The 26,777-nt window shown below is 40.3% G+C and overlaps 2 protein-coding genes across 13 annotated transcripts in view, besides 3 other annotated features; one reads left to right on the top strand and one right to left on the bottom strand.

The window, feature by feature from the left end:
• The window catches only part of CCDC125 (coiled-coil domain containing 125), a 59,763-nt gene extending 56,846 nt beyond the window's left edge, over positions 1 to 2,917 (top strand). The window contains exon 13 of the mRNA XM_011543258.3: positions 2,477 to 2,917. Within this exon, the coding sequence (XP_011541560.1) occupies positions 2,477 to 2,517 (41 nt within the window). The 3' untranslated portion in view covers positions 2,518 to 2,917. The remainder of the gene's footprint in view (positions 1 to 2,476) is intronic.
• CDK7 (cyclin dependent kinase 7) overlaps positions 1 to 26,777 on the bottom strand; it is a 42,636-nt gene that overhangs the window by 1,475 nt on the left and 14,384 nt on the right. For 2 of the 12 annotated variants that reach the window (NM_001324077.1, NM_001799.4), the window contains exons 3-10: positions 23,505 to 23,538; positions 21,287 to 21,354; positions 20,428 to 20,496; positions 17,803 to 17,913; positions 16,020 to 16,138; positions 13,652 to 13,751; positions 6,663 to 6,749; positions 2,915 to 3,064 (exon numbers count right to left, since the gene is read on the bottom strand). In NM_001324077.1, the coding sequence (NP_001311006.1) occupies positions 2,915 to 3,064; positions 6,663 to 6,749; positions 13,652 to 13,751; positions 16,020 to 16,138; positions 17,803 to 17,913; positions 20,428 to 20,445 (585 nt within the window). In that variant the 5' untranslated portion in view covers positions 20,446 to 20,496; positions 21,287 to 21,354; positions 23,505 to 23,538. Of the gene's footprint in view, positions 1 to 2,914; positions 3,065 to 6,662; positions 6,750 to 13,651; positions 13,752 to 16,019; positions 16,139 to 17,802; positions 17,914 to 20,427; positions 20,497 to 21,286; positions 21,355 to 23,504; positions 23,539 to 25,124; positions 25,212 to 26,777 lie in introns of all 12 variants that reach the window. The other 10 variants (NM_001324072.1, NM_001324075.2, XM_047416609.1 and 7 more) reach the window with 7 other exon arrangements.
• Positions 9,654 to 10,154: an enhancer, noted in NCBI's record as "H3K27ac hESC enhancer chr5:68561629-68562129 (GRCh37/hg19 assembly coordinates)". NCBI's record gives its function as "activates a minimal SCP1, AML or CMV promoter by ChIP-STARR-seq in naive H9 embryonic stem cells {active_cell/tissue: H9 hESC(naive)}" and the evidence as "EXISTENCE:reporter gene assay evidence [ECO:0000049][PMID:30033119]".
• Positions 24,896 to 25,396: an enhancer, noted in NCBI's record as "H3K27ac hESC enhancer chr5:68546387-68546887 (GRCh37/hg19 assembly coordinates)". NCBI's record gives its function as "activates a minimal SCP1, AML or CMV promoter by ChIP-STARR-seq in primed H9 embryonic stem cells {active_cell/tissue: H9 hESC(primed)}" and the evidence as "EXISTENCE:reporter gene assay evidence [ECO:0000049][PMID:30033119]".
• Positions 25,397 to 25,897: an enhancer, noted in NCBI's record as "H3K27ac hESC enhancer chr5:68545886-68546386 (GRCh37/hg19 assembly coordinates)". NCBI's record gives its function as "activates a minimal SCP1, AML or CMV promoter by ChIP-STARR-seq in primed H9 embryonic stem cells {active_cell/tissue: H9 hESC(primed)}" and the evidence as "EXISTENCE:reporter gene assay evidence [ECO:0000049][PMID:30033119]".

Raw genomic sequence — 26,777 nt, 5'->3', positions numbered from 1 at the left:
CCAGAAGTGCTTCAGATTTTGGACTGTGGAATATTTGCATATACATGACGTACCTTGGGGATGGAAGCCAAGATTAAAAATGAAACTTATGTTTCATATACAGCTTATACATATAAACTGAAGGTAATTTTACACTTATTTTTTGTGGAGAATGGGGTCTTGCTATATTGGCCAGGCTTGTCTTGAACTCCTGGGCTCAAGCTATCCTCCCGCCTCCGCCTCCCTAAGAGCTAGGATTACAGGCGTGAGCCACCGCGCCTGGCTGAAGGTAATTTTATAAAATATTTTTAATTTGACAAAATTTTTAATTTTGTACATAAAACAAAGTTTTGTTAATGTCCTTATGTGTAGAATTTTCCACTTGTGGCATCACGTCATCATTCAAAAAGCTTTGGATTTTGGAGCATTTCAGATTTCGGATATTTGGATTAAGGATGCTCAACCTATACTAATTATGAGCTATCCTTAGTGAAATATTGTACATTTCCATTCTCTACATATTGAACTCTACAGTTCAAAATGCAAAGAGAGAAACTTAAAAAGAACTTACAAGTTGGCCACACTATCCATATATATTCAAATTCCAAGTCATGTAAAATATAAATTCTTAAAAAATAAGGCTTTTTAAAAAATACAGTAGGTTGGAACCAATGGATTCTAATTCAACAATCCATTGCAAATGGACAGAAATTTTACTTGGAAGGGCTTCTCCAAGATTATTTCTATTAATTACCAGGCCAATGTTCTATAATACATTTTCTCTTTTTTTCCCCCTACTATAGTGCTGTAGATACAATACATTTTCTTGACTTGGGTCCACAATTCTGATAAAAATAATTATATCCTAAATGACAAGTTTGTCAGGTCATGCTTGTCTTTTTTTTTTTTTTTGGATACAGAGTCTCACCCTGTTGCCCAGGCTGGAGTGCAGTGGCACAATCTTGGCTCACTGCAACCTCCACCTCCCGGGTTCACATGCTTGTCTATTTACATCAGCAGCATAGTGCTGTCCAGTGGCTACAATGATTTAAAATACTTCTGGCAGGGCGGGGTGGCTCATGCCTGTAATCCCAGCACTTTGGGAGGCCGAGGCAGATGGATCACCTGAGGTCAGGAGTTCGAGATCAGCCTCGATAACATGGTGAAACCCTGTCTCTACTAAAAATCCAAAAATTAGCCAGGCATGGTGGTGTGCACCTGTAATCCCAGCTACTAGGGAGGCTGAGACAGGAGAATCGCTTGTACCTGGGAGGTAGAGGTTGCAGTGAGTCAAGATCGTGCCACTGCACTCCAGCCTGGGTGACAGAGCAAGACTTCGTCTCAAAAATAAATAAATAAATACTTCCTTTAGGATAATCCTTTAAGAAAGATGAAGCCCATATAAACTTTGCAAGCATTCCTCACCACTCCCAATATTATTTGCAGTAATTTAGAGATTCCTTACTTCAACAGTTGCATTTTCATTTTTTATTTATTTACTTTTTGTAGAGATGATGTTTTGTCATGTTGCCCAGGCTGGGCTCCAACTCCTGGGCTCAAGCTATCCTTGCTCCTTCACCTCCCAAAGTGCTGGGATTACAGGTGTGAGCCGATGCACCGGCCTACAGCTGCATTTTTAAAGCATTACTTCTAAATCACAGCAGTTCTATATGCAAATTAGGCTAATTCTGGGCTAAAGATCTAAGAAAATACCTCATTCCAACTTTAATAAAGACATCCATGAAACAAAACTCACTTTAAAAACTTCATTCTATTAAAATACAACCCAAATACAACAACTAGTATTTTTCTGTTAAGTTTCAAACTATACTACCAATGAAAACAACTTTCTAGATAATTAAATGTGGTCTCAAGTTTATTATGATGGAAATAATATACATAGAAGTATGAGTGAAAAGGCAACAAATTACTTGTTTGAAATTAAAAGAGTATGTGTACACATGGACATAAAAATAATAAAGAAAAATTTTTTAAAAAAGAAATTAGGAGAATAATTCTAATGGTAAATACCCAGCATATACCTACCTACCTATCCATCTATATCTATCTATCCTTCCATCCATCCATCCATCTCCATATATATTCACATAGCACACATTGCTAAAAAGAGAAGGCTTATACAAGCAAGTGCATTAAACAATGATTTTGTAGCCTGGAACAAACCTAAAGAGAAAAAAATCTATTTTGTATGCTTAATATTACTGTACATTAATATGTTTCCATAAAGACCTGTGATCTCACTTTCATTAGTCTCTCCCTTCATGAGGTAAAATCACTGCACTGTGTTGTACAGTGCTCTGCCCTAAGTTATTCTAGGTCTTCCAAATTTTTCATGAGTTTGTTATTTCCTTTAAACAGCAGTTAGTTTCAGTTTTTGTTTTATTTCAAATATTTTTCAAGCTTTTGTAAGCATACAATTATATCTGACTATACCATTTCCTCCCCATTACCATGTTCTCAATGTGAGAATGATCAGCATGCATACCTGGATTGCATTATATAGGAAAGAAAAAATAAGCCGAACAAACTACTTTCAGCATTGCTACAAGATTTAAATGAATTTGTAAGAGCTCAACTGAAATATACCAGTTTCTTAACAAATAAAAAGCCTTGGTTTTCTTTTTCTAAGTAAAGTATTTACAAGCCAATTATGTGAAATAGACATGTATTTAAATGTCCCTAAGCAAGTGTAATAAGTGTAAACTCTCCTGTATCTCTGTGTGCATATAATTTAATCTCAGTCTTAATAGTGTTTGTAGTTTGGGGAAAAGATACAAAGTTTGTTATTTCTTAAAACAAAAACACATCTTTCCAGTATTTAAAAAATGTTAATTTTATGAAATTCTATTTTTATCAATGCTACAGTTAAGATTATTTTTATATTTCCTAGTATAAAAAAGATACACCAAAATACCTGTGTGGCCGTAATTCGAGCACATGGATTAAATAAGAATAAGCCTTGTATGAGATCTAGTAAGTCGTCTCCTGCTGCACTGAAGATGTGATGCAAAGGTATTCCAGGGAAACTCTTAAATGTCACATAATCTGGAAGACTACACATGTCCTGTAAAAATAATTTTGTAATTCAAACTTAAGGATTAAAGGCATATAGATTGCAAATGAAATAAATCATTTTCAGGTGATATGATGGTTTATATAGAAAATTCCAAGAAATCTATTAAAAAGTCCTAGAACTAGTAGTAAGACAAGGCTGAAAAGGATATAAATTGAAAATTTAAAAATCAATTGTAATTTTGTACACTAGCAATAAATATGTGGACATCAAAATTAAAAACACAGTACTATTTATAATCACCCCAAAAAGAAAAATGAAACAGGTGAAAAATGTAACAAAACATGTATAGGGTAATATACTATAAGCTATACAATGCTGATGAAAGTCATCAAAAGATCTCAATAAATGGTGAAACATATCGTGTTCACATATTGGAATATTCAACAGAGGAAGGATGTTAATTATCCTCAAATTGATTTGCAAGTCTAATGTAATTTTTATCAAAATCCTAGCAAAATTATCTTAGATATAGGACCAATTATTCTACAATTTATATGGAAAGGCAAAGGACTACAGTAGCTAAAATGATTTTGAAAAAGAACAATAAAGTGGGAGGACTCATTTTACCTGATTTCAAGATTTAACATATAGCTACTTTGATTAAGACTCTGTTGTATTGGCAGAGAGAGAGATACATAAATCAATGGAACTCAATAAAGGACTTAGAAATCCACACAAATCTGCCAAAAGGATTTTTGAAAAAAGTGAAAAACTAAATCAATGAAGAGACCGTCATTTCAACAAATACTGCTGGAACACTTCGACATACATGTGCAAAAATCTGAACTTGGCTGGGTGTGGCAGCTCACGCTTGTAATCTCAGCACTTTGGGAGATTGAGGCAGGAGGGTCACTTGAGCTCAGGAGTTCGAGACCAGCCTGGACAAGAAAGTGAGACCCCACTCCAACCTGGGGAACAGAGTGAGACTGTCTCAAAGAAAAAAAAAAACAAAAACTGAACCTTGCCCTAAGTCTCACACATCATATAAAGGTAAACTCTAAACAGATCTTGGACTTAAGTATAAAACTACAAAACTTGTAGAAAAAAATACAAAAAAAATTGTCACAGCCAAGGGCATAGTGGCTCATGCCTGTAATCCCAGCACTTTGGGAGGCCAAGGTGGGCAAATCGTTTGAGCTCACGAGTTTCAGACCAGCCTGGGAAACATGCAGAAACCCTGTCTCTACAAAAAACACAAAAACTAGCTGGGCGTGGTGGTGCATGCCTACAGCCCCAGCTACTCAAGAGGCTGAGGTGGGAGGATGGCTTGAGCCTGGGAAGTGGAAGTTGCAGTGAGCTGAGATCACACCATTGCACTGCAGCCTGGGCAACAAGCCAGATCTTGTCTTGAAAAAAAAAAAAAAAAGAAAAAAAAATTGTCAAAAAATCTTTGGGCTGGGCAAAAGAGCTCTTTGACTTGACACCAAAAGGATGATCAATTAAAGAAAAAGTGACAAACCTGATTACAATTTTGCAGAGGATGAAAAGGCAGCACGAGGGAAAACATCTGCAAACTACATACACTTTTTGGACTACTATCTAGAATATATGAAGAGCTCTCAATACTCAACAGTCAAAAATCAAAGAATCCAATCAGAAAATGGGGAAGAGACATTTAACTAAAGATGGCAAATAACCACAAGAAAAGATATTCAACACCATTAACCATTAGAGCAGTGAAAATTAAAATCAAAATGAGCTATCATGACACACTCATTAGAATGCCTAAAATTAAAAAGTGACAACACCAAATGCTGGAGAGGATTCCAAGAAACTGGAGCATTCATTTACTGCTGATGAGAATGTAAAACAGTATAGCTGCTCTGGAGTTTTGCAGGTTATTTAAAAATTAATATGTAACTACCATATGACTCAAGAACTGAACTCCTGGGCATTTATCCCAGAGAAATAAAAATATATTCTTATATAAAAAACTGTACATAAATGTTTAGAGCAGTTTTATTGGTAATAGCCCCACATTGGAAACAACACAAATATAGATGTCCTTCAATGGGTGAACGGTTGAAGAAACTGAAATAAATCCACACAATACTCAGCAGTTAACAAAAGAGAGAATGAATTATTAACATGCAATGACCTGAATGAACTTCCATTTATGATGGATATGAAAAAGTTAATCCCACAAAGTTATATATTGTGTGATTCCATTTATCCATTTACATAACATTCTTGAAATGACAAAATTACAGAGCTGGAGAACAAATTAGTGATTGCCAAGAGTTAAGGAGTAGGTAGAAGGAAAGTAAGCATAGCTATAAAAGAATACCATGAGAGATTCTTGTGGTGATATTCTGTATCTTGACTGTAGCATCCTGGTGTGATACTGTACTGATTTTATAAGATGCTCCCATCTTGTAAAAGCTAGGTAAAGGGTCCGTGAAATATGTCTGTAGTATTACTATTATAGTTTTGAGACAGGGACTCACTCAGTTACTCATGCTGGTAAAGCGCAGTGGTGCAATCACAGCTCACTGCAGCCTTGACTTCCTGGGCTCAAGCAATCCTCCTACCTCAGCCTCCTGAGTAGCTGGGACCATAATGTGTGCACCACCAAGCCTGGCTAAATTTTTTTAATTTTTGTTTTTTATAGACACGAAGTCTCACTATGTTGCCCAGGCTGGTCTTAAACTCCTGGGCTCAAGTGACCCATTTACCTCAGTCTCCCAAAGTGCTGGGATTACAGGCGTGAGCCATTGTGCCCAGCCACAATATATAATTGTGAATTATATATTCACAATTGCACGTGAATAATATTCTCAAAATAAGAAGTTTAATTTTTTTTTTTTTTTTTTGGAGACAGAGTCTCACTCTGTAGCCCAGGCTGGTCTCAAACTCCTGGCCTCAAATGATCTGCCCGCCTCAGCCTCCCAAAGTGCTGGGATTACAGGCGTGAGCCATCGCACCCACCAAGAAGTTTAATTTTTAAAAAATCAAAGAGAAACATCAGTAAGCAATTACTATTTAGAAAATCATGTTAGCCAAGTGCGCTGGCTCATGCCTGTAATGCCAGCACTTTGGGAGGCTGAGGCAGAACTGCTTGAGACGAGGAGTTTGAGACCAGCCTGGGCATCACGGTGAAACCCCATCTCTATTAAAAAAAATAATAATAATTTAAAAAAATCTAAGAGAAACATCATATATACATATATGTACACCTACATGTGTGCATGTGTGTGTAATGGGTTTTATATATATAATGGCTTCACACCGTGTATATATACGACGTGAACCCATTTTTGTCAAGGAGTCAAAGAACATGCAACCCTTTTATGTTCGTAGTGTGCTTATAAACTCCTAACATGACTTTACAATGAATTGTTAATAGTGATTACCCTGAGGTCAGGATTACTGGGGTGGGGGGAAAGGACTACATGTATACAAGAGGTTGATGGTATATCACAATTGTAACTTCTTACTTTATATACTTTATCATTTAAAGTGTTCTGAGTACATATTATAATGAATGTCTTTAATATTCACGTGACAGCACTATATAAAGTATATGACAGTTTAAGAACTTTACAGAGTCCTAATTACATTTCAAAGAAAATGCATAAAGGCTTACCGGCCACTGTTCCTCAGTTGGTGTGCCCAAAGTTTCAAATATTCTTGTTAGCTGATCAAGGTCTGAATCTCCTGGCAAAAAAGGAACCTGAAAGAAAGTAAGAGGGAGACTTTTCAAGGTGGGTTTTTTTTTTTTAATTTTTTTCTTTTTTTAGAGAGACAGAGTCTCGCTCTGTCACCCAGGCTGCAGTGAGTGATGCAATCCTGGCTCACTGCAACTTCCTCCTCACTTCAAGCGATTCTTCTGCCTCAGCCTCCCGAGTAGCTGGGACTGCAGGGGCATGCCACCATGCCTGGCTAATTTTTGTATTTTTAGTAGAGATGAGGTTTTGCCATGTTGGCCAGGCTGGTCTCGAAGCCCTGACCTCAAGTGATCTACCCACTTCAGCCTCCCAAAGTGCTGGGATTACAGGCGTGAGCCACCACGCCAGCCTTAGAGATGGGTTTTTTTTTTTTTTTTGAGACAGTCTCGCTCTGTTGCCCAGGCTAGAGTGCAGGAGTTCAAGCTCCGCCTCCTGGGTTCAGGTCATTCTCCTGCCTCAGCCTCCAGAGTAGCTGGGACTACAGGCGCCCGCCACCACGCCTGGCTAATTTTTTTGTATTTTTAGTAGAGATGGGGTTTCACCGTGTTAGCCAGAATGGTCTCGATCTCCTGACATTGTGATTTGCCCGCCTCGGCCTCCCAAAGTGCTGGGATTACAGGCGTCAGCCACCATGCCTGGCCTTCAAAGTGGTTTTTGATACCTGTTAGACAAATACTATAAATTTAATAAGAAAAACTTAAAAACTCTGCAACGAATATTGAAAATTTAGTACAAAGTGTATTGGGTACGTTATTAGATCCTACCACTGCTAACCAACAAAACAGCACCTTTACTATCCATTTTATTCACTCCAAATTTTAATAAACACTTCCCATATAACAGGCCTTGTGCTAAGCCTCAGGAATTAAAAGAGGAAAACGAGACATTCCCTGCCCTCCCCTTAGGTGGAGGTGGTAAGCAGTGCTGATACACATAAACAAGCATTTACAATTCGGTGTGTTGAGTAAGTACGAGATCCTAGACCACATGGAAAGAGCACCTAACTTACTCTAGATGGGTCAGGAGTTCAAGACCAGTCTGGCCAACATGCTGAAACCCTGTCTCTCTACCAAACATAGAAAAATCAGCCAGGCGTGGTGGTGCATGCCTGTAGTCCCAGCTCCTCAGGAGGCTGAGGCAGGAGAATCACTTGAACTGGGAGATGGAGGCTGCAGTGAGCAGAGATGGAGCCACTGCACTCCAGCTTGGGCGACAGAACAAGAATCCATCTTAAAAACAAAAAACAAAAAAACTAAAAGGATATTAAATAATATTACAACTATTTTTAGACATGCTAATTTTCTTCTTAAACCCAAAAGGATTATCTTTTGTTTTTTGTAGGGCACCTGTACCCTCACTTTGCAGGCCAAATTGTGGACAAGGTTGTAATTTAAACAAATTTTAAGAATTGGTGTGCTTTTGTATGATGTAAAAATGAAACTAAGCTGTCTGATGTATGGATTTCACACTCCAATTTGAACAAGCCTATGTAAAAAGACATTTATGAGAAAAAGTAGGAAAATCTGAATACAGACTTGATTTTATTAAGGAATTAATGTTCACTTTTTTCAGATGACAATGGTATTGTGGTTATGATTAAAGAATCCTTATAGATGGCCAGGTGTGGTGGCTCACTCCTGTAATCCCAGCACTTTAGGAGGGTGAGGCGAGTGGATCAATTGAGGCTAGGAGTTTGAGACCAGCTGGTCAACATCACAAAACCATTTTTACTAAAAAATACAAAAACTAGGCGGGTGTCATGGTGCACGGCTGTAATCCCAGCTACTTGGGAGGCTGAGGCACGAGAATCACTTCAGCCTGGGAGGCAGAGGTTGCAATGAGCTGAGATCACGCCACCGCACTCCAGCCTGGGCGACAAAGACTCTGTCTCAAAAAAAAAAAAAAAAAAAAAAAAAAAAGGAATCCTTATAGAGAAAAATACTAAAGAAACATGGATAAAATTACATGTTTGGAATTTGTGGCAAAAATATCTAGTGTGGGAGAGTACTGATAAAATGAATCATATGTTGAAACTATTGAAACTGGTTGATGAGTATAGATAGAGGCTCATTTTACTAGTCTTTGCTTTTGCATGTTTGAAAATATCCATACTAAGAAAACTATTTTTCCCTAAAGAAAGAGCTGCTTTGGGACTTAAGCTGTGTGTTTAAAATGTCTTATTTGTATTAAATACATGAACCTTGTTAAAACACTAAATAGTACTAAAGACTTATAATAAAAATTGGTTCTTTGACCCATCATCTCCCTCTCATTTTTGATAATTACGTAACTTTTGCTCAGTGCAGAGCCAAAATTAAGATTAATTCCCCTTCTTATACAATTTGGTTTTCCTAAAGGTAATGATTTCCTAGCCCTCCGCCACCAACTCCTAATGCCTGCTCTTTGACAACTTGGTTTATATAAAAGCTAAATATTCCAGTTATTAAATATCGATTTCTATATGACTAAACCAATCATATCCATCGGTTCCTTTTTTTTTTTTCCTGGAAGCCACCCCTGCTGAAGTCCTCACCCCACCTGCTCCAATCTGGACTAGCTACTCTCCAGGCCTGATGCATACCTGCTTTCCCAGAACTTTCCTTCACTATTAAATGAGAATTTGAACTGCCTTTTTCCTGTGTTGAATCTTATGTTCCCTGCATCTCATGTCTTCCCGTTGGTTTACTCTCTGCAACCTCTGCCTTGTGGGTTTAAGCACCTCACCTTCCCGAGTAGCTGGGATTACAGGCGCCCACCACCATGCCCAGCTAATTTTTGTATTTTTAGTAGAGACCGGGTCTCACCATGTTGGCCAGGCTGGTCTCGAACTCCTGACCTCAGGTGATCCACCTGCCTTGGCCTCCCAAAGTGCTGGGATTACAGGCATAAGCCACCGCACCCAGCCCTAAACTTTTTTTTTGAGACAAGGTCTGTCTCCTCTAATTCGGTGTGAATTTTTCGGTTCTGTTTTTCTCCTGTGCTGTCTCTGCACCAGCTCAGCTCAGCTCCCCAGCCTTCGCCGCCGCAGCCTCTTCAGCCTGCTGACCGCAAGTGCGCCCTCTAAAGGCCCCAAATGCCCTATACACACCAGGTGGAGAGTGCGGCAGCGCCTGCAGAGCCCAATTAAAGGTGAACCCCAGCCTGTTACCCAGGCTGGAATGCAGTGGCACAAACGTGGCTCACTGCAGCCTTGACAACCAGGCTCAAGCAATCCTCCCACTTCAGCCTCCCAAGCAGCTGGGACTACAGGCATGCACTACCAAGTCTGGCTAATTTCTTGATTTCTTTTTTTCTTTTTTTTTTAGCTAGTGTCTTGCTCTGTCACCCAGGCTGGAGTGATGTGGCACGATATCACCTCCTTGCAGCCTCAAATTCCCAGGTTCCAGTGATCCTGCCAACTCAGCCTCCTGAGTAGCTGGGAAAACACGCACTCAATACCATGCCCGGCTAATTTTTGTATTTTTGGTAGAGACAGGGTTTCACCACATTGCCCAAGTGGGTCTCAAACTCCTGAGCTCAAGTGATCCACCCGCCTTGGCCTCCCAAAGTGCTGGGATTACAGGAGTGAGCTGCCCTGCCTGGCCTAGATGTAAATTTCTGATGTAATAAATTGTAGTTACCCTCAGAGCAAACTGAAAATATGAACAGGCAAAGAATTCTAGGTTGAGCATCATTTTCCCTCACAATGTGAACACTTCCAGATTCCAGTGCTGCTGTTGAGAAGGCTCATGCCATTCTTTTTCCCTAATACTTTATTTTCTTTTCTATGTATGCTGCTTTTCTTCTCTGTGCAAATAAAATATTTTTCTTACCCCTTCGTATTCTGAAATTTCACAACAGTGTGTCTTGGCACAGGTTTTTTTTTTTCATGCAGAGCCTTTAGAATTTTTTTTTGAAAGTTTTCTTTGTAATTTTCATAATTGTACTCATTTTTTTTTTTATTTTTTGAGACGGAGTCTCGCTCTGTCACCCAGGCTGGAGTGCAGTGGTGCGATCTTGGCTCACTGCAAGCTCTACCTCCCAGGTTCATGCCATTCTCCTGCCTCAGTCTCCCGAGTAGCTGGAACTACAGGTGCCCGCCACCACGCCTAGCTAATTTTTTTTGTATTTTCAACAGAGACGGGGTTTCACTGTGTTAGCCAGGATGGTCTCTATCTCCTCACCTCGTGATCTGCCTGCCTCAGCCTCCCAAAGTGCTGGGATTGCAGGCGTGAGCCACCGTGCCTGGCCTTTTTTTTTTTAGACGGAATTTCACATTTGTTGCCCAGGCTGGAGTGCAATGGTGTGATCTCCAGCTCACTGCAACCTCCACATCCCGGGTTCAAGCGATTCTCCTGCCTCAGCCTCCTGAGTAGCTGGGATTACAGGCATGTGCCACCAAACCCAACTAATTTTGCATTTTTAGTAGAGATAGTGTTTCTCCATATTGGCCAGGCTGGTCTCAAACTCCCAACCTTGGGTGATCCACCCACCTCGGCCTCCCAAAGTGCTGGGATTACAGGCATGAGCTACTGCGCCCGGCCTCATAATTGTACTCTTCATGGCACTTTTAGTCTGACGATTCACATCTAGCAGTGCTTCACTATTTTGAGATTTCCTACCCTCCATTTTCCTTGTTTTCTGTTGGTACATTCTAGAATCCTGGATCAATCTGTTAATTTTATCTTTTCTCTACTATAGTCCATCTATCTTTTTATTGAGACAGGGTTTCACAATGTTATCCAGGCTGGTCTTGAACTGCTGGGCTCAAGAGATTCTCCTGCCTCAGCCTCGCACGTAGCTGGGACCACAGGTATGTACCACTGTGCCTAGCCATCTCTTCATCTTTTGATTTTAGTTAATGAAAGAGTTTTGCAGCTTACTTTCCCATTCCTTTCACTGTTTTTGTTTGCTTTTGGCTATCTTCTATTTTTAATAGTTCAAGTGTCTCTTATTTTATTGTTCCCCTTTTAAAAAAGTATGGTGTGCTTATTCTATAGATGCACTATAATCTCTTAGATCTCTGAATATTTGGAAAGGGGGCTGGGGGCGGTGAATTTTCTTCTGCTTTGGTTGTTTCCATTTTTTCCAAGTTTCTTTTTAGTTTGTTTCAGTCTGCCTTTCATTTTGGAAGTATTCATTACTATCTGAAGATCCTTAATAACTATCTGGTGATCCCTGGCTAAGCATTCATATGGGCAACATTTCTACCTTTTCAATTGAGCACAAGAACAGCTTAAAATAGGACAAAAGGTATGGCAGAAGAGTACAATTCTTTAGTCTGCATGTCATTTTCCTTATAACTTTAAAGATGATTCCAGCAACAATGCCAATGGCTAATAAATTTCCAAGTATGATTGTTAACAGGTCCACAATCTCTAACCTGTCTACTCTCAACTGCTGTCTCTCTTCATTTGCTTTCTCAATGGAGTGATCAGTCATAACATTAGGGGCTATGGAATTCTGTTTTCTTCTTGGCCATGAATGGATTGTGGTGGTTGATAAATTCTCAGTGTGAATTTCTGGTATACTCTATGTTCAGGTAAGTAGCAGTTATCATGCCAGCTGATTCACAGGACCCCCTGTTAGCACTGTGATTCCCATATTACCTTCCAAGTTTGAATGTGTGGGTTTCTTCTACAAATGCCCATTGGGTAAGTTTCTCAAAATGATGCACAGAATTTACTTTTTTTTATTTTAAGAGATTGGGGTCTTGCTATATTGTCCAGGCTTGCCTCAAACTCCTGAGTACAAGTGATCCTCCCACCTCAGCTTCCCAAGTAGCTGGGACTATAGGCGTGAGCCACCACTATGCTTAAACTAAACATTTTTAGTTTAGTGTTTTTCTCTTTGGTGTACAAAAGTTGTTTTCTGTGTTCAAGGAGATAAAAAAGCTATTCAATCTTGGTTTGAATTTCTTTAAATACATATGGCTTAAGGAGAGGGAGAGCAGGGGTCAGAATATGGAGAGAAAAAAACTAGCTTCAGAAGGATTCCCCTGTATCCCTTTACCTTCATCATTCGTAAGGGCTAGTCTTTCTGGAGATCTAAACTTCATAGCTAAAGAGAAGTTTCCAAGTCAGCATCTTTCTCTCTGGTGAGGGGAAGCAGGGGATTTTTTTTACTGTAAGATGATGGTCTCAGTCACAGAAATGCTATAGTAACATTGTATCTGTTCTGTTTCAACAGAACTAAAATAATGGTCTCACACAAGGCTTAAGTTATACAGAGTAGTAGCTGCAGTGGTTGGTATTATACATTTCCTAAAGCGCACTTAAAACAGACCCAAACAAAAAAACCCTCAGGAGGACAAAAGTTTATCTGAACATATTTAGTTGTTATAGAGATACTGCCATATTACAAGTGAATTTCTATGTTCTGAAGTATAAAACTTCTACAGTAAAGTTCTTATTGTCCTAAATGGAAGATATTCTCATTTCATATTAACATTAAAAAATGCTACATTTGGCTTTTTAAAAATTGGACTATTTGTAGGCTTTTTGTTGTAAAGACATTGGCAGGACAAGAATTCTTTTCTTTTTCTTTTTCTTTTTTTTTTTTTTTGAGATGGAGCCTTGCTCTGTTGCCCAGGCTGGAGTGCAGTGGCACAATCTTGGCTCATTGCAACCTCTGCCTCCCAGGTTCAAGCGATTCTCCTGTCTCAGCCTCCCGAGTAGCTGGGACTACAGGCACCCGCCACCATGCCCAGCTAATTTTTCTATTTTTAGTAGAGATGGGGTTTCACCATGTTGGCCAGGCTGGCTTCGAACTCCTGACCTCAAGTGATCCACCTGCCTCGGCCTCCCAAAGTGCTGGGATTACAGGCGTGAGCCACCATGCCTGGCCTAGGACAAGAATTCTTATACAAACTGTCAGAACAAATAACTGCAACAACAATATTAAAGTGCGTACATTAATTTAGACTTACCCTTAGAAGTAACTCTGCTAATATACAGCCAACAGCCCACATGTCCACACCTACACCATACATCCTAGCTCCAAATAGTAACTCGGGGGCCCGATACCACCTAAAGAACAAAAAGAATTAGTATCATTTTAGCATGAAATTATCAAAGCACTTCTATCTCTAGGGATGAACGATCCTTGTCTGTTTTCTGTTTTTAAAGGCAATCCCTTACTTTAAGGACTAGATACCATACTCTTTCATGAAGTTTTAAATATAATACTCTTGCAGTTCTCTCCTTTTTCTCCTACAGCAGTCTTTTGTTTTCTACTAGACTTTTCCCAACAATGTACAAACATACCAGTATTTTTCCAGTCTTAAACTTCTCTGGACCCTACCTCCCCTAATAGGTGCCTCCTCATTCTCTGCCCAGTTCAAAGAATTGTCTATTCTTACTGTCTCCAATTCCTTTTCTTCCATCCTCTCTTAAAACCTTTTCAGGCCGGGTGTGGTGGCTCACGCCTGTAATCCCAGCACTTTGGGAGGCCGAGGCGGGCGGATCACGAGGTCAGGAGTTTGAGACCAGCCTGGCCAACATAGTGAAACCCGTCTCTACTAAAAATACAAAAAATTAACCAGGCATGGTGGTGGGCGCCTGTAATCCCAGCTACTTGGGAGGCTGAGGCAGGAGAATTGCTTGAACCCGGGAGGCAGAGGTTGCAGTGAGCAGAGATCGCGCCATTGCACTCCAGCCTGGGCGACAGTGCCAGATTCCGTCTCAAAACAAAACACCACACACACATACACACACACACACACACACACACACACACACACAGAGAACCTTTTCAATCAGGCTTTCATCCTTACCATTCCATCAAAACTGCTCTTATCAAGCTTATCAGTCATGTCCACACTGCTAAATCCCATTGTCAATTCCCAGAGTCTTCATCTTAATTTGATTTACCAGCAGCATTTGATTTACAGACAGAGAAAATATGAGAAACTGGTAGATGAGAAAGCTCTGTTAACAATGCTCTTGTACACAGGTCCCTGTTTCTATGAGTTCCTGAATGTTGAGCTTAACTGCTCTAGCAATTACATAAACAATTACTCACATCCCCTACTTCTTACTCAGGGCTTAGGTGATTTATACTCAGTGACATCTATTTGGAAGAAGGTGGCAAAATAATTTAAAATAGAGACTTTGGGGCCAGGCACAATGGCTCACACCTGTAATCCCAAAACTATTGGAGGCTGAGGTGGGAGGATCGCTTGAGTGCAGGACTTTGAGACCAGCCTGGGCAACATGGCGAAACCCATCTCTATAAAAACTTTAAAAAATTAGCCAGCCATGGTGGGGCGTGCCTGTGGCCCCAGATACTTGGAAGGCTGAGGTAGCACGATTGCTTGAACCCAAGAGGTCAAGGCAGCAGTGAGTACTGTTTGCACAACCGCACTTCAGCCTGGGCAACAGAGCGAGATCCTGTCTCAAAAAAGAAAAAGAAAAAATACAGAATTTGAAAATCTTTGCAGATCCTTAAAACGGTCTTGGAAATTAACAAAATGCCACTGGGACAAAAATTATAAAATCTATCATTCCTATTTAATGTGATTTTCTGTTTTTTCACATCAAAAATACAAATGGAAAATATAATTACCAATATGAAAAATTCAAATATCAAGACATTGCTCTGTTTAGAGAATTTTCATTTACATAGAAGGATACAGAATCAGCACTGACCAACATAATAAAAATGGGTCCAATAAATCAGATGATTAGGTAGAAGAATATCCACTGAAATTCTAGATTATCTAACTAAAATGTTAAAGTATAAATTGTTCCCATTTACAAGGTAAATGTCTTAGGATTAAGTTAGACTCTGTTTGAAAAGGGGCTATGTATTTTTTCATCGTGGTAAAGTATACCTAACATAAAAATGACAGGTTTTTTTTTTGTTTGTTTTTTGTTTTTCCCTGAGAGGGAGTCTTTCTCTGTCGCCCAGGCTGGAGTGCGGTGGTGCAATCTCTGCTCACTGCAACTTCTGCCTCTCTGGTTCAAGCAATTCTCCTGCCTCAGCCTCCTGAGTAGCTAGGATTACAGGCGTGCGCCACCATGCCCAGCTAATTCTTTTGTATTTTTAGTAGAGACGGGGTTTCACCATGTTGGCCAGGCTGGTCTCAAACTCCTGACCTCGTGGGTCTGCCTGCCTTGGCCTCCCAAAGTGCTGGGATTACAGGCATGAGTCACCGCGCCTGGCCAAATGGCAGTATTTTTTAAGACGGTATCTATCAACAATGATTCCTTAACTCTGCCAAGATAGTTCAGAGAAGCCAGTTGATGCTCATTTCTGATCAAACTCCTGCACATGTAGCTTTAAGAGATTCTTACCTGGTTACAACCTGATGTGTATAAGCTCTATTGGGGCTCCCAAAAGATTTGGCCAGGCCAAAATCTGCCAGTTTTAGAACTCCATTTTCATCTAGCAACAAGTTGTTTGGTTTCAGATCCTATATGACGGAAGTTTTAAACAAACAAATAAGCAGGGTAGGGGAGAACACTGTAGTGCTACATTTAGTTGGCATAACTTTAAACTTAGCAAAAACAAGGTAACACCTGAAATCTAAACAATCAATTTTTTTCCCACTGATATAAAATCCCATCAAAGCAAAATTGGATTGGTTATAATATATAACCTTGGTAAGGAACTTAATTTCACTAAGCCATAATTTACATACTTCATAGAGTTTCTGTGAGGATTAAATCTGATATTTTCTGTAGTCTAGTGTAATAACTGGCTCATAGTAGGCACTCAATAAATGGTTCCTACTATTAATAATAAATATGAACTTTCATAATATACGTTGTTAATGTATAAGAATGAGGATGACATTCTTCAAAATCCATGCTAAAAAGACATCAGCAATAACCTAAGAGGGATTCCAAACTTACGATATGAGAATTACTAGTTATAAATTATATATTCTTAGCTACTTATCTAAATAGCTAGGTAGCTAGCATCTACCTAGCTAAATTATCAGCTTTGTTCTAAAAGCTGAATGTTCCCACTATTTCATAAACTGTATTTTGTACCTTGAATTTTAGAGCTACAAGAAACATTACTTTTCTAGTATTTTGGCATTGTATGAGTTAATCCAAGACCATCTCTATATTTTTTTCCCCACAACAACATTGTAGCACAAAGAATACTGAACTTAAAGCCAAAAGACCTATGTTCTTTTTTTTTTTTTTGAGACAGGGTTTCACTCTGTCACCCAGACTAGAGTGCAGTGGTGAGGTCTCAGCTCACTGCAACCCCCACCTCCTGGGCTCAGGTGATCCCCCAACCTCAGCCTCCTGAGCAGCTGGGACTACAGGTGTGCACCACTGCACCCAGCTAATTTCTGTATTTTTTGTAGAGATGAGTTTTCACTATATTGCCCAGGCTGGTCTAGAACTCCTGGGCTCGAGATATCTACTTGCCTCAGCCTCCCAAAGTGCTGGCAACACAAAAGTGAGCCACCATGCCTGGGTCAAAACCTATGTTTTAATACTCTGTCCATTATCAGCAGCCAACCTTGAAAAAAAATATAACCATGGTCAGGTCACTTAGCAACTTAGCTCTTCATCTATTAAAAAATGAGGAGGCCGGGCGCAATGGCTCACGCCTGTAATCCCAGCACTTTGGGAGGCCAAGATGGGCAGATCACGAGGCCAGGAGATCGAGACCATTCTGGCTAACACGGTGAAACCCCGTCTCTACTAAAAAAATACAAAAAATTAGCTGGGCGTGGTGGCGGGCACCTGTGGTCCCAGCTACTCGGGAGGCTGAGGCAGGAGAATGGCATGAAACCAGGAGACGGAGCTTGCAGTGAGCAAGAGATCGCGCCACTGCACTCCAGCCTGGGTGACAGAGCAAGATTCCATCTCAAAAAAAAAAAAAAAAAAAAATGAGGGACTGGATCTCTTCCAGTTCTAAATTTCACAAAGTAATATGGAGTCCTTACAGCACCAACTGCTGGAACAAGTGAAGGGAATAATATATAGCAAAAAGATGGGATAAAACAGTCAGCTATAAATTCATTGTTAAACAATTTACATATTCAGACCACTATGTACCAAATTGGCTATATAAAACTTGACTAGTATAAAGAAGCAATATTAAAAACCTTACCCTATGTAGGATCCAATGTTGATGTAAATATTCTAATCCTTGAAGAGTCATCAACATGTAGGCTTTGATGTGTGATGGTGTCAGCACAAGACTATTATCCTTTATTATAACCTGTAAAGCAAGTATACAATATACAGGTACCCTTTATTATTTCAAATAAACTCTACCACATAAAACAATTTACAGACTTAAAATGTAAGTATCAATACAGGAGACTCTCAAAAGAGGTTATCTAAGTTTCCTCAGGAAGCCCTGTCAAAATCTCCAGAGTTAGATGGGTAGGGAGAGCATTTCTGGTTTGAAAAGAAAGCAGTGCTTTGTCCTCTACTGCTTTCGCATGAAAGTAGCAAACACCTGTTGTTTCTGCTTGCATCTTCTGACAATAGCAGTTAGTGTTCCTTTGGGAAGCCATCTCTTCTCAGCTTAGTCCACATGGTTAAGGTAGGACTGAGTCAACCTAAGGCCTCCAGAGGTAGGCACATGACCCAGGCATCCCCATTATCACACTGCAGTCTCCTGGCCAAGTGATTGGTTCAGGGATACAAGACAAGTCAATCAACCAGGCCAAGTACTTGTGCTAGAATCAAAGAAAAGAAAGCACTTTCGTTCCTCAGGTATTATTAAACTCTACAAACATATACCTAGAAGCATCTGGAACACCATATTGAGAACTGTACACATGAAGAATGCAACAGAGAAGAAAATGGAGCTTAGTTAAAGCGTAAGACTGAGTTTTGATGGCATTATTTATGAGCTGTGCCTAATGTCAGTTTATTCTAGATTTATCAGTTAGGAACTAAAAGTTCCCCTTTTCTTTTTTTAAAATCAGATTTAAGGTAAAGCATACCCTTTTTAGTGTATAGTTCCATGAGTTTTGACAAATGCATCCAGTCATGTAACCACCACTATAATCAAAGCATAGTTCCGTAACCTCCCCAAATTCCCTGAGGCCCCTCTGTACTTACTCCTTTCCTTTACCCCAAAGCCCCCATAACCGCTGATCTGGTTTCTGGTTCCTTTCATTTTGCCTTTTCCAGAATATCATATAAATGAAATGGTTCAATACATAGTCTTTTTAGCCTGGCTTCTTTCACTTAGTATAATGCATTTCAGATTCATCTATGTTGCTGCATTTATCAATAGTGTGTTTCTATTCCTGAGTAGTATTTCAGTTTGTTTGTACAGTTAGAATGAGGGATGTTTGGATTGTTCCAGTTTTGATAATTATTAATAAAGCCAAACATCTGTACCAACTGAATTCTGGCATACGTTTTTGTTTCTTTTTTTTTTCTTTTTTCGAGATGGGAATCTCACTCTGTCACCCAGGATGGAGTGCAATGGTGCAATCCATAGCCTAGTGGTGAGTCCATAGCCTATTATGATAGGTCCTTCCAGGATCAATACCATTAGTATTGTGATCTATAACAGCATCACTAATATTGTGATCGATACCACTAATCAATAATCTTGTGATCTAGCAATACCACTGCTAGGTATTTATCTAAAAGAAAGAGGCCGGGCATGGTGGCTCACGCTTATAATCCCAGCACTTTGGGAGGCTCAGGCAGGTAGATCGCCAGAGGTCAAGAGTTTGAAACCATCCCGTCCAACATAGTGAAACCCCATCTCTATTTTAGCTGGGCATGGTGATGGGCGCTTGTAATCCCAGCTACTCAGGAGGCTGAGGCACAAGAATTGCTTGAACCTGGGAGGCAGAGGTTGCAGTGAGTTGAGATCGCGCCACTGTACTCCAGCACGGGTAACAAAGCAAGACTCTGTCTCAAAAAAACAAAACAAAAACAAAAACAAACAAAAAAACTTGGCTTTCAAAAGAATGACATTACTCTGATTATATGGAAATAAGTTTCTTTATTTTTTAATATAATTTGTAAAGCTGAGACAGGATCTATGGGGTCCAGGCTGGTCTTGAACTCCTGGGCTTAAGCAATCCTCTTGCCTTGGCCTCTCAAAGTGCTGAGATTACAGGCGTGAGTCACTGCACTGGCCAGAAATAAATTTTAAATTCTTATAGGTTGCTAGGCATGGTGACTCATGCCTGTAATCCTAGCACTTTGGGAGGCTGAGGCAGGCAGATCACTTGAGGTCAGGAGTTCAAGACCAGCCTGGCCAACATGGTGACACCCCGTCTCTACTTAAAATATAAAATTTAGCCGGGCGTGGTGGCACCTGTAATCCCAGCTACTTGGGAGGCTGAAGTGAGAGAATCACTGGAACCCAGGAGGTGATGGCTGCAGAGAGCCGAGATCACGCCATTGCACTCCAGGCTGGGTGAACAGACTGAGACTCCATCACAAAAAAAAAAAAAAGCAAACAAATCTTATAGGTCTAATGCTCATTTCTCCAAAAATGACGTCAACTAGCTATGGGAACTTAGAAGGCAGAAATGCCAATGAAATCCAAATCTTTGTATGTAACACTGGGGATATCACTAAATGATTAGAAGAAAATAACTAGAGATCCTTTTGCCTCAGAGTACATCCAAATTTCAACAAAATTAAGCTTTTTTTCTTTTACTACCAGTATCTTCTTGGGTAGAAAACAAATATTTAGGTTCTTGTTTGATAAACTGGGACAAAGGAATTTCTCCAGGAATCTTAATCTTACCTCTAGATCAGTTTCCATAAAATCAAAGACAAGGCTAATATTAGATTTATGTCCAAAAGCATCAAGGAGCTGCAAAGTTAAAAAATTAAAATGTGATTCACTATTTAATACCTGACAGTATCATAGCAACTGAGGCAATTTTTAAAAATTTAAAAAGCATTTAAACTGTTGGTAATTCCCTATAAAGCTTAAATCATTTGATTAAATTTGACATTTGTCCTTTTTTGGACAGTACTAAAGGAATTAGTATTTTGAAGCATAAAAATATTAAATTTTACTTAAAAAAATACCCAACCTCTTTCCCCAAATATTTGGAGTTAGAATTAAGAAATTAACCAATGAAAACCTCATTCCAGTCTCCAATTCAAAAGAAAAGTCCCAAATGTGATTCTTAAGAAATCCTCTAAATAACAGCAGCTATCATTGAATGAATGAATACATTTTCTATGGTAGGCACTATTCCAGATACTTTACATCTATTCAATTGGCTAGTCTCACAACTTCCCTATGAGGCAGGGACTCTGGGGAGTTGTGAGTGAACACACTCAAGGTCTCACACAGGCAGAAAGAAAGGTTTTGAATTCAGGTTGACACTCTCAGCCACTACATGCTAGAGCTCCCTAGACTTCAAAATTATTTCCGACAAAATTAGCCTACATGTCAATATTTCATTTATTTAATCAGTGGTATAGTTTTGAAGACAATGCCTACCAAAACAACTGGGATAGAAAATGTATTTCCTTTAAGCTTCTACAAGGCTCATCCAGAACAAGTCATCTTGCTGAGCCTTTAATCAACATCCATTATATTAAGAAAAGGCAGAGTCCCAAATCCCAGTAACAGTTTTGATCATACTCACACCAATTATATTTGGATGACTTAGCTCCTGTAATAATTTTATCTCTCTTAAGGCGGTTCTATTTATACCTATATAAAAAGGCAAAGCAAAAAGTGAATAATTCTGAAATCTCAAACCTTACAAACACTTCTTTTTTTTTTTTTTTTTTGAGATGGAGTCTCGCTCTGTCGCCCAGGCTAGAGTGTAGTGGCGTGATCTCGGCTCACTGCAACCTCTGCTTCCCGGGTTCAAGCAATTCTCCTGCCTCAGCCTCCAGAGTAGCAGGGATTACAGGCACGCGCCACCACGCCCGGCTAATTTTTGTATTTTTAGTAAAGGCGGGGTTTCACCATGTTCATCAGGCTGGTCTCCAACTCCTGACCTCGTGATCCACCCGCTTTGGCCTCCTGAAGTGCTGGGATTACAGGCGTGAGCCACCACACCCAGCCACAAACACATATTTTTAAAGAAAGGTTAGTAATCTCAGAAAATAGTGAACATTACCCACAAAAATAAGGGCTACTTTGACAATTTTTATGTCAAATCTGTTGTTCTTTTACATTGCTTTATTTTTATTTATTTATTTTTTTTGAGATGGGGTTTCACCCTGTCAGCCAGGTTGGAGTGCAGTGGCATGATCTCGGCTCACAGCAGCCTCCACCTCCCAGACTCAAGTAATTTTCCCACCTCAGCCTCCCGAGTAGCTGGGACCACAGGTGTGCACCTCCACGCCTGGCTAATTTTTTGTATTTTCGTTAGAGATGGGGTTTTGCCATATTGGCCAGGCTGGTTTCGAACTCCTGAGCTCAGGCGATCTACCCACCTCACCCTCCCAAAGTGCTGGGATTACAGGCGTAAGCCATGGCACCAGGCCAATATTGCTTTACTTTTAAAATAGCTTAACAAAGACTACGACAAATGGTGAAAAATATTTCACCTTATCTATACCAGGATCTGAACACCACTACTAGACTAACAACATATATAAGTGTGCAGCATATAGGTGATAAGCTTCCCTACTCTTGCCCTACAAATATTAGTGGCATATTGTTTGTGCTAAAAGCAAACTAGTGATAAGATAGTATATTTTCCAATACAAATGACAGATTTCAAAATTAAAAATTAGATACAGGCCGGGCGCGGTGGCTCGTAATCCCAGCACTTTGGGAGGCCTAGGTGGGCAGATCACTTGAGGCCAGGAGATCGAGACCAGCCTGGCCAAGGTGGCAAAACCCCATCTCTACTAAAAATACAAAAAATTGGCTGGGCATGGTGGTGTGCACCTGTAATCCTAGCTACTCAGGAAGCTGAGGCAGGAGAATCGCTTGAACCCGGGAGGTAGAGGTTGCAGTGAGCCGAGATTGCGATACTGCACTCCAGCCTGGGCAACAGAGCATGACTCTGTCTCAAAAAAAATAAACAAAATAAAAATAAGATATAGTATTGGCACTTACACAGACAATGGGTCTCTTTTGTAAGAGCTATTTTATGATGAATCCTAATAAATAAGACTTTGGAAGAAAGTTTAATGAAATAATTTCCTCATGTATCTATTCCATAGTAAGCTTTATGTACTTTCATGAAAATGTATCCTGAATTTTCAAAGTAATTAGAAACTCAGAAACAGAAAAAACAATGGCTTGTAACACCTAAAACAGTAATGAAGACAGAAAGACAAACTAATTAAGCTTGCTGCCTTCCATTTATGTGGGTGATTTGGAATGTTTCTCTGAATATCCAGTAAGTAAAAATCACCAAATACTCCTTCTCTATGCTGAGTCTATCTTTACTCTTCGGGGACCCTGCAGTAACTCTATCCAGAACCATTACTAACTTATTAATTCATACTTTGCTCGTTTCTTCAGTGAGAATGAAAACTTTATGCTGGGCATGGTGGCTCAAGCCTGTAATCCCAGCACTTTGGGAGGCCGAGGTGGGAGGATAGCTTGAGGCCAGGAGTTTGAGAGAAGCCTGAGCAACACAGCCAGACCTCATCTCTACAAAAAATAAAACATTAACCACAAGTGGTGGCACATGTTTACAGCCCTAGCTACTCAAGAGGCTGAGGTGGGAGAACTGCTTGAGTACCTAAGTTTGAGGCTGCAGTGAGCTACGATTGTGTCTCAGTACTCCAGCCTGGGTGACAGAGCAAGACCCTGTCTTTTTAAAAAAAAAAAAAAAAAAAAAAAAAAAAAAGGAGAAAACTTTTCCTATCTGTCAGATTACATGAAATACTTACCATCTTTAGCTTCTGATCTATGTCCAAGTTTGATCTGGTAGAAACGGAAAAAAACCCAAATATATTAAAAATGTGTTAAATTATTTAGAATCAATGAATAATGTGTAAATACTTCAAATACTTCGCCACAGAAAAAAAAACAATTAGCAACCAATATGTACCTACTAGGCAAAAAGAGAGTAGGAATCATGATCAGAAAGATAAAATTAACAATATAAGAGAGAATCAAATACCTACCCTTGTCCCTTAAGTTTCTGAACTACACATTCAAATAATAAAATTAAGAAAAATCTATTTTACCTTTTCAAGGTTCAATGTGGACCAAATAACTAAGGGTACCCTGATTAAAAATAAATACGTAACTTCAAATTAGGCTACTTGGGAGGAAAGATACAGAAAATAACATGCTGTAGAGTTGGTAATAAGCCCAATAATATGCTCTTAGACACCACATTTTTCAAAAAGCAAAATTACAAATTGTGATGGTTAAAATGTTGTTACTCTGAATAAACATAACAAATTACATTAACAGGTTTAGTCTTACACAAAATAAATTACCTGGGTAAAGAACATTCTCTCACTGCTTTTTAGAAAACTGTCAGTAATCAAGAAAAGACTGGCGGGGTGTAGTGGCTCACACTTGTAAATTCCAACACTTTGACAGGCCAAGGTGGGAGGATCGCTTGATCCCAGGAGTTTAAGACCAGCCTGGGCAACATAGCAAGACCTTGTGTCTACTCAACATTTTTAAAAATTAGCCAGGAGTGGTGGCACGTGCCTACAGTCCCAAGTACTCAGGAGGCTGAAGCAGGAGGATTGCTTGAGCCCAGGCTACAGTGAGCCATGATCACACTGCTGTACTCCAGCCTAGGCAACAGAGAGAGACTGTCTCAAACAAACAAAAAAACAAAAACACAAGTGGCTCATGCCTGCAATCCCAGTATTTTGGGAGGCCTGGGTAGGAGGATTGCTTGAGTACAGGAGTTAAAGATCAGTCTGGGCAACATAGCAAGACCCCGTCTCTACAAAAAATGTAAAAAGTTACTGGGGCATTGGCTGGGTGCGGCGGCTCATGCCTGTAATCCCAGCACTTTGGGAGGCCGAGGCAGGTGGATCACGAGGTCAGGAGTTCAAGACCAGCCTGGACAATATGGTGAAACCCCGTCTCTATTAAAAAAATACAGAAATTAGCCAGGCATGGTGGCACACGCCTGTAGTCCCAGCTACTTGGGAGGCTGAGGCAGAAGAATCGCTTGAACCCAGGAGGCGGAGCTTGCAGTGAGCCGAGATCGTGCCACTGCACTCCAGCCTGGGTGACAGAGCGAGACTCTGTCTCGAAAAAAAAAAAAAAAAAGTTACCGGGGCATGGTTGCATGTGCCTGTAGTTCCATCTACTTGGAAGGCTGAAGTGGGAGGATTGCTTGAGCCCAGGAGTTCGAGGCTGCAGTGAGCTATGATTGCACCACTGCATTCCAGCCTGGGCAACAGAACAGGCGATTCTACTTCTAACAAACAAAAAAACCCACAGAATTTCTTAAAGTAGACCATTTAGGATTCATGATTTGCTCACTATAGAGCCCCTGGGCCCTGAATAATCAGCAGTGGTAACCAGGGCCTCACCATGGGCCTCAGGTGAAACTCCGAGACATATTGGCTTCAGGTATGACACAGCACATTCACAGCTGTAGTGGCTACCAGCAGAGACTCCTGTTTGAGAAAATGAGAGGGAAGAGTAAAGGAGATTCTGTCTTGCAGCTTAGGGACCAGCTTGGTTGCCCTGGGGAAGAGCACCAGGTGGGCTACTAGGGTCCATGAATCCAGGCCTTGGCTCTTGGATGGCATTTCTGGACCTACCCCTGGAACAGAGGGGAACCCACTACCCTGAAGATGAGTCCCAGGCCTGGCAGCATCCAGCATAAGCTGACTGAGGAGCCCTGGGCCTTAAGTGAACACTGGTGGTACCCTGGCAATAATCCCCTCTTCATGGGCCTGTGGTGCTGATGGACACAGGAGCAACTCCTCTGCCTGAAGAAAGGGGAAGAAAGAATGGTAATACAGAGTCTGGTAATACAGAGAATTCTGGACCTTATCCAAGACCACCAAGATGGTACCTCTATAAGTCTATAAGAACTACAGCATTACTGGGTTCGGGGTACCCCCTAATGCAGATACGATTACAGTGACCAAAGACATAGATTGCAACACTCTATTCCCTTTGAATACTTGGAATACCTTCCAATAAGAATGGTACAAACAAGTCCAGACTGTGAAGACTATAATAAATACCTGACTCTTCAATGTACAGATGGCAGTGAACACTCACAAGCATTAAGGCCATCCAGGAAAACATACCCTCACCAAATGAACTAAATTAGGCACTAAGGGTCAATCCTGCAGAGAAAGATATGTGACCTTTTAGTCAGAGAATTCGAAATAGCTGTTTTCAGAAAACTCAAAGAAATTCAAGATAACACAGAGAAGGAATTCAGAATCCTATCAGGTAAATTCAACAAATACTTGAAAGAATTAAAAAGAATTAAGCAGAAATTCTGGAGTGGAAAGATGCAAGTGACATACTCAAGAATGCATCAGTCTTTGTTTTTTGGAGACGGAGTTTTGCTCTTGTTGCCCAGGCTGGAGTGCAATGGCACAATCTCAGCTCACTGCAACCTCTGCCTCCTGGGTTCAAGCAATTCTTCTGCCTTAGCCTCCCAGGTAGCTGGAATTACAGGCATGAACCACCATGCCCAGCTAATTTTGTATTTTTAGTAGAGACGAGGCTTCACCATGTTGGTCAGGCTGGTCTCGAACTCCTGACCTAAATGATCCACCCACCGTGGCCTCCCAAAGTGCTGGGATTACTAGTGTCAGCCACCATACCCACACTTTTTTCCCTTTTTTGAAACAGAGTCTTGCTCTGTCACTCTGTCACCCAAGCTGGAGTGCAGTGGTGCAATCTCGGCTCACTGCAACCTCCGCCTCCCAGGCTAAAGCCATCCTCTCCACTCAGACCCCCCCAAGAAGCTGGGACCACAGGCACAAACCACCATGTCAAGCTAATTTTTCTATATTCTGTAGAGATGGGGTTTCACCATGTCTCCCAGGCTGGTCTCAAACTCCTGAGCTCAAGTGATCCACCCACCTCGGCCTCCCAAAGTGCTGGGATTACAGGCATGAGCCACTGTGTCCAGCCGCATCAGCCTTTTAATAGCAGAATTGATAAAGCAGAAGGCAGAATTAATGAGCTTGAAGACAGGCTATTTGAAAACAGAG

The sequence above is a fragment of the Homo sapiens genome, chromosome 5 (genome assembly GCF_000001405.40).
Source record: "Homo sapiens chromosome 5, GRCh38.p14 Primary Assembly".
Lineage (NCBI taxonomy): Eukaryota > Metazoa > Chordata > Mammalia > Primates > Hominidae > Homo > Homo sapiens.
The sequence above is the reverse complement of the archived record's forward strand: the minus strand, read 5'-3'. Positions and strand labels throughout refer to the sequence as shown.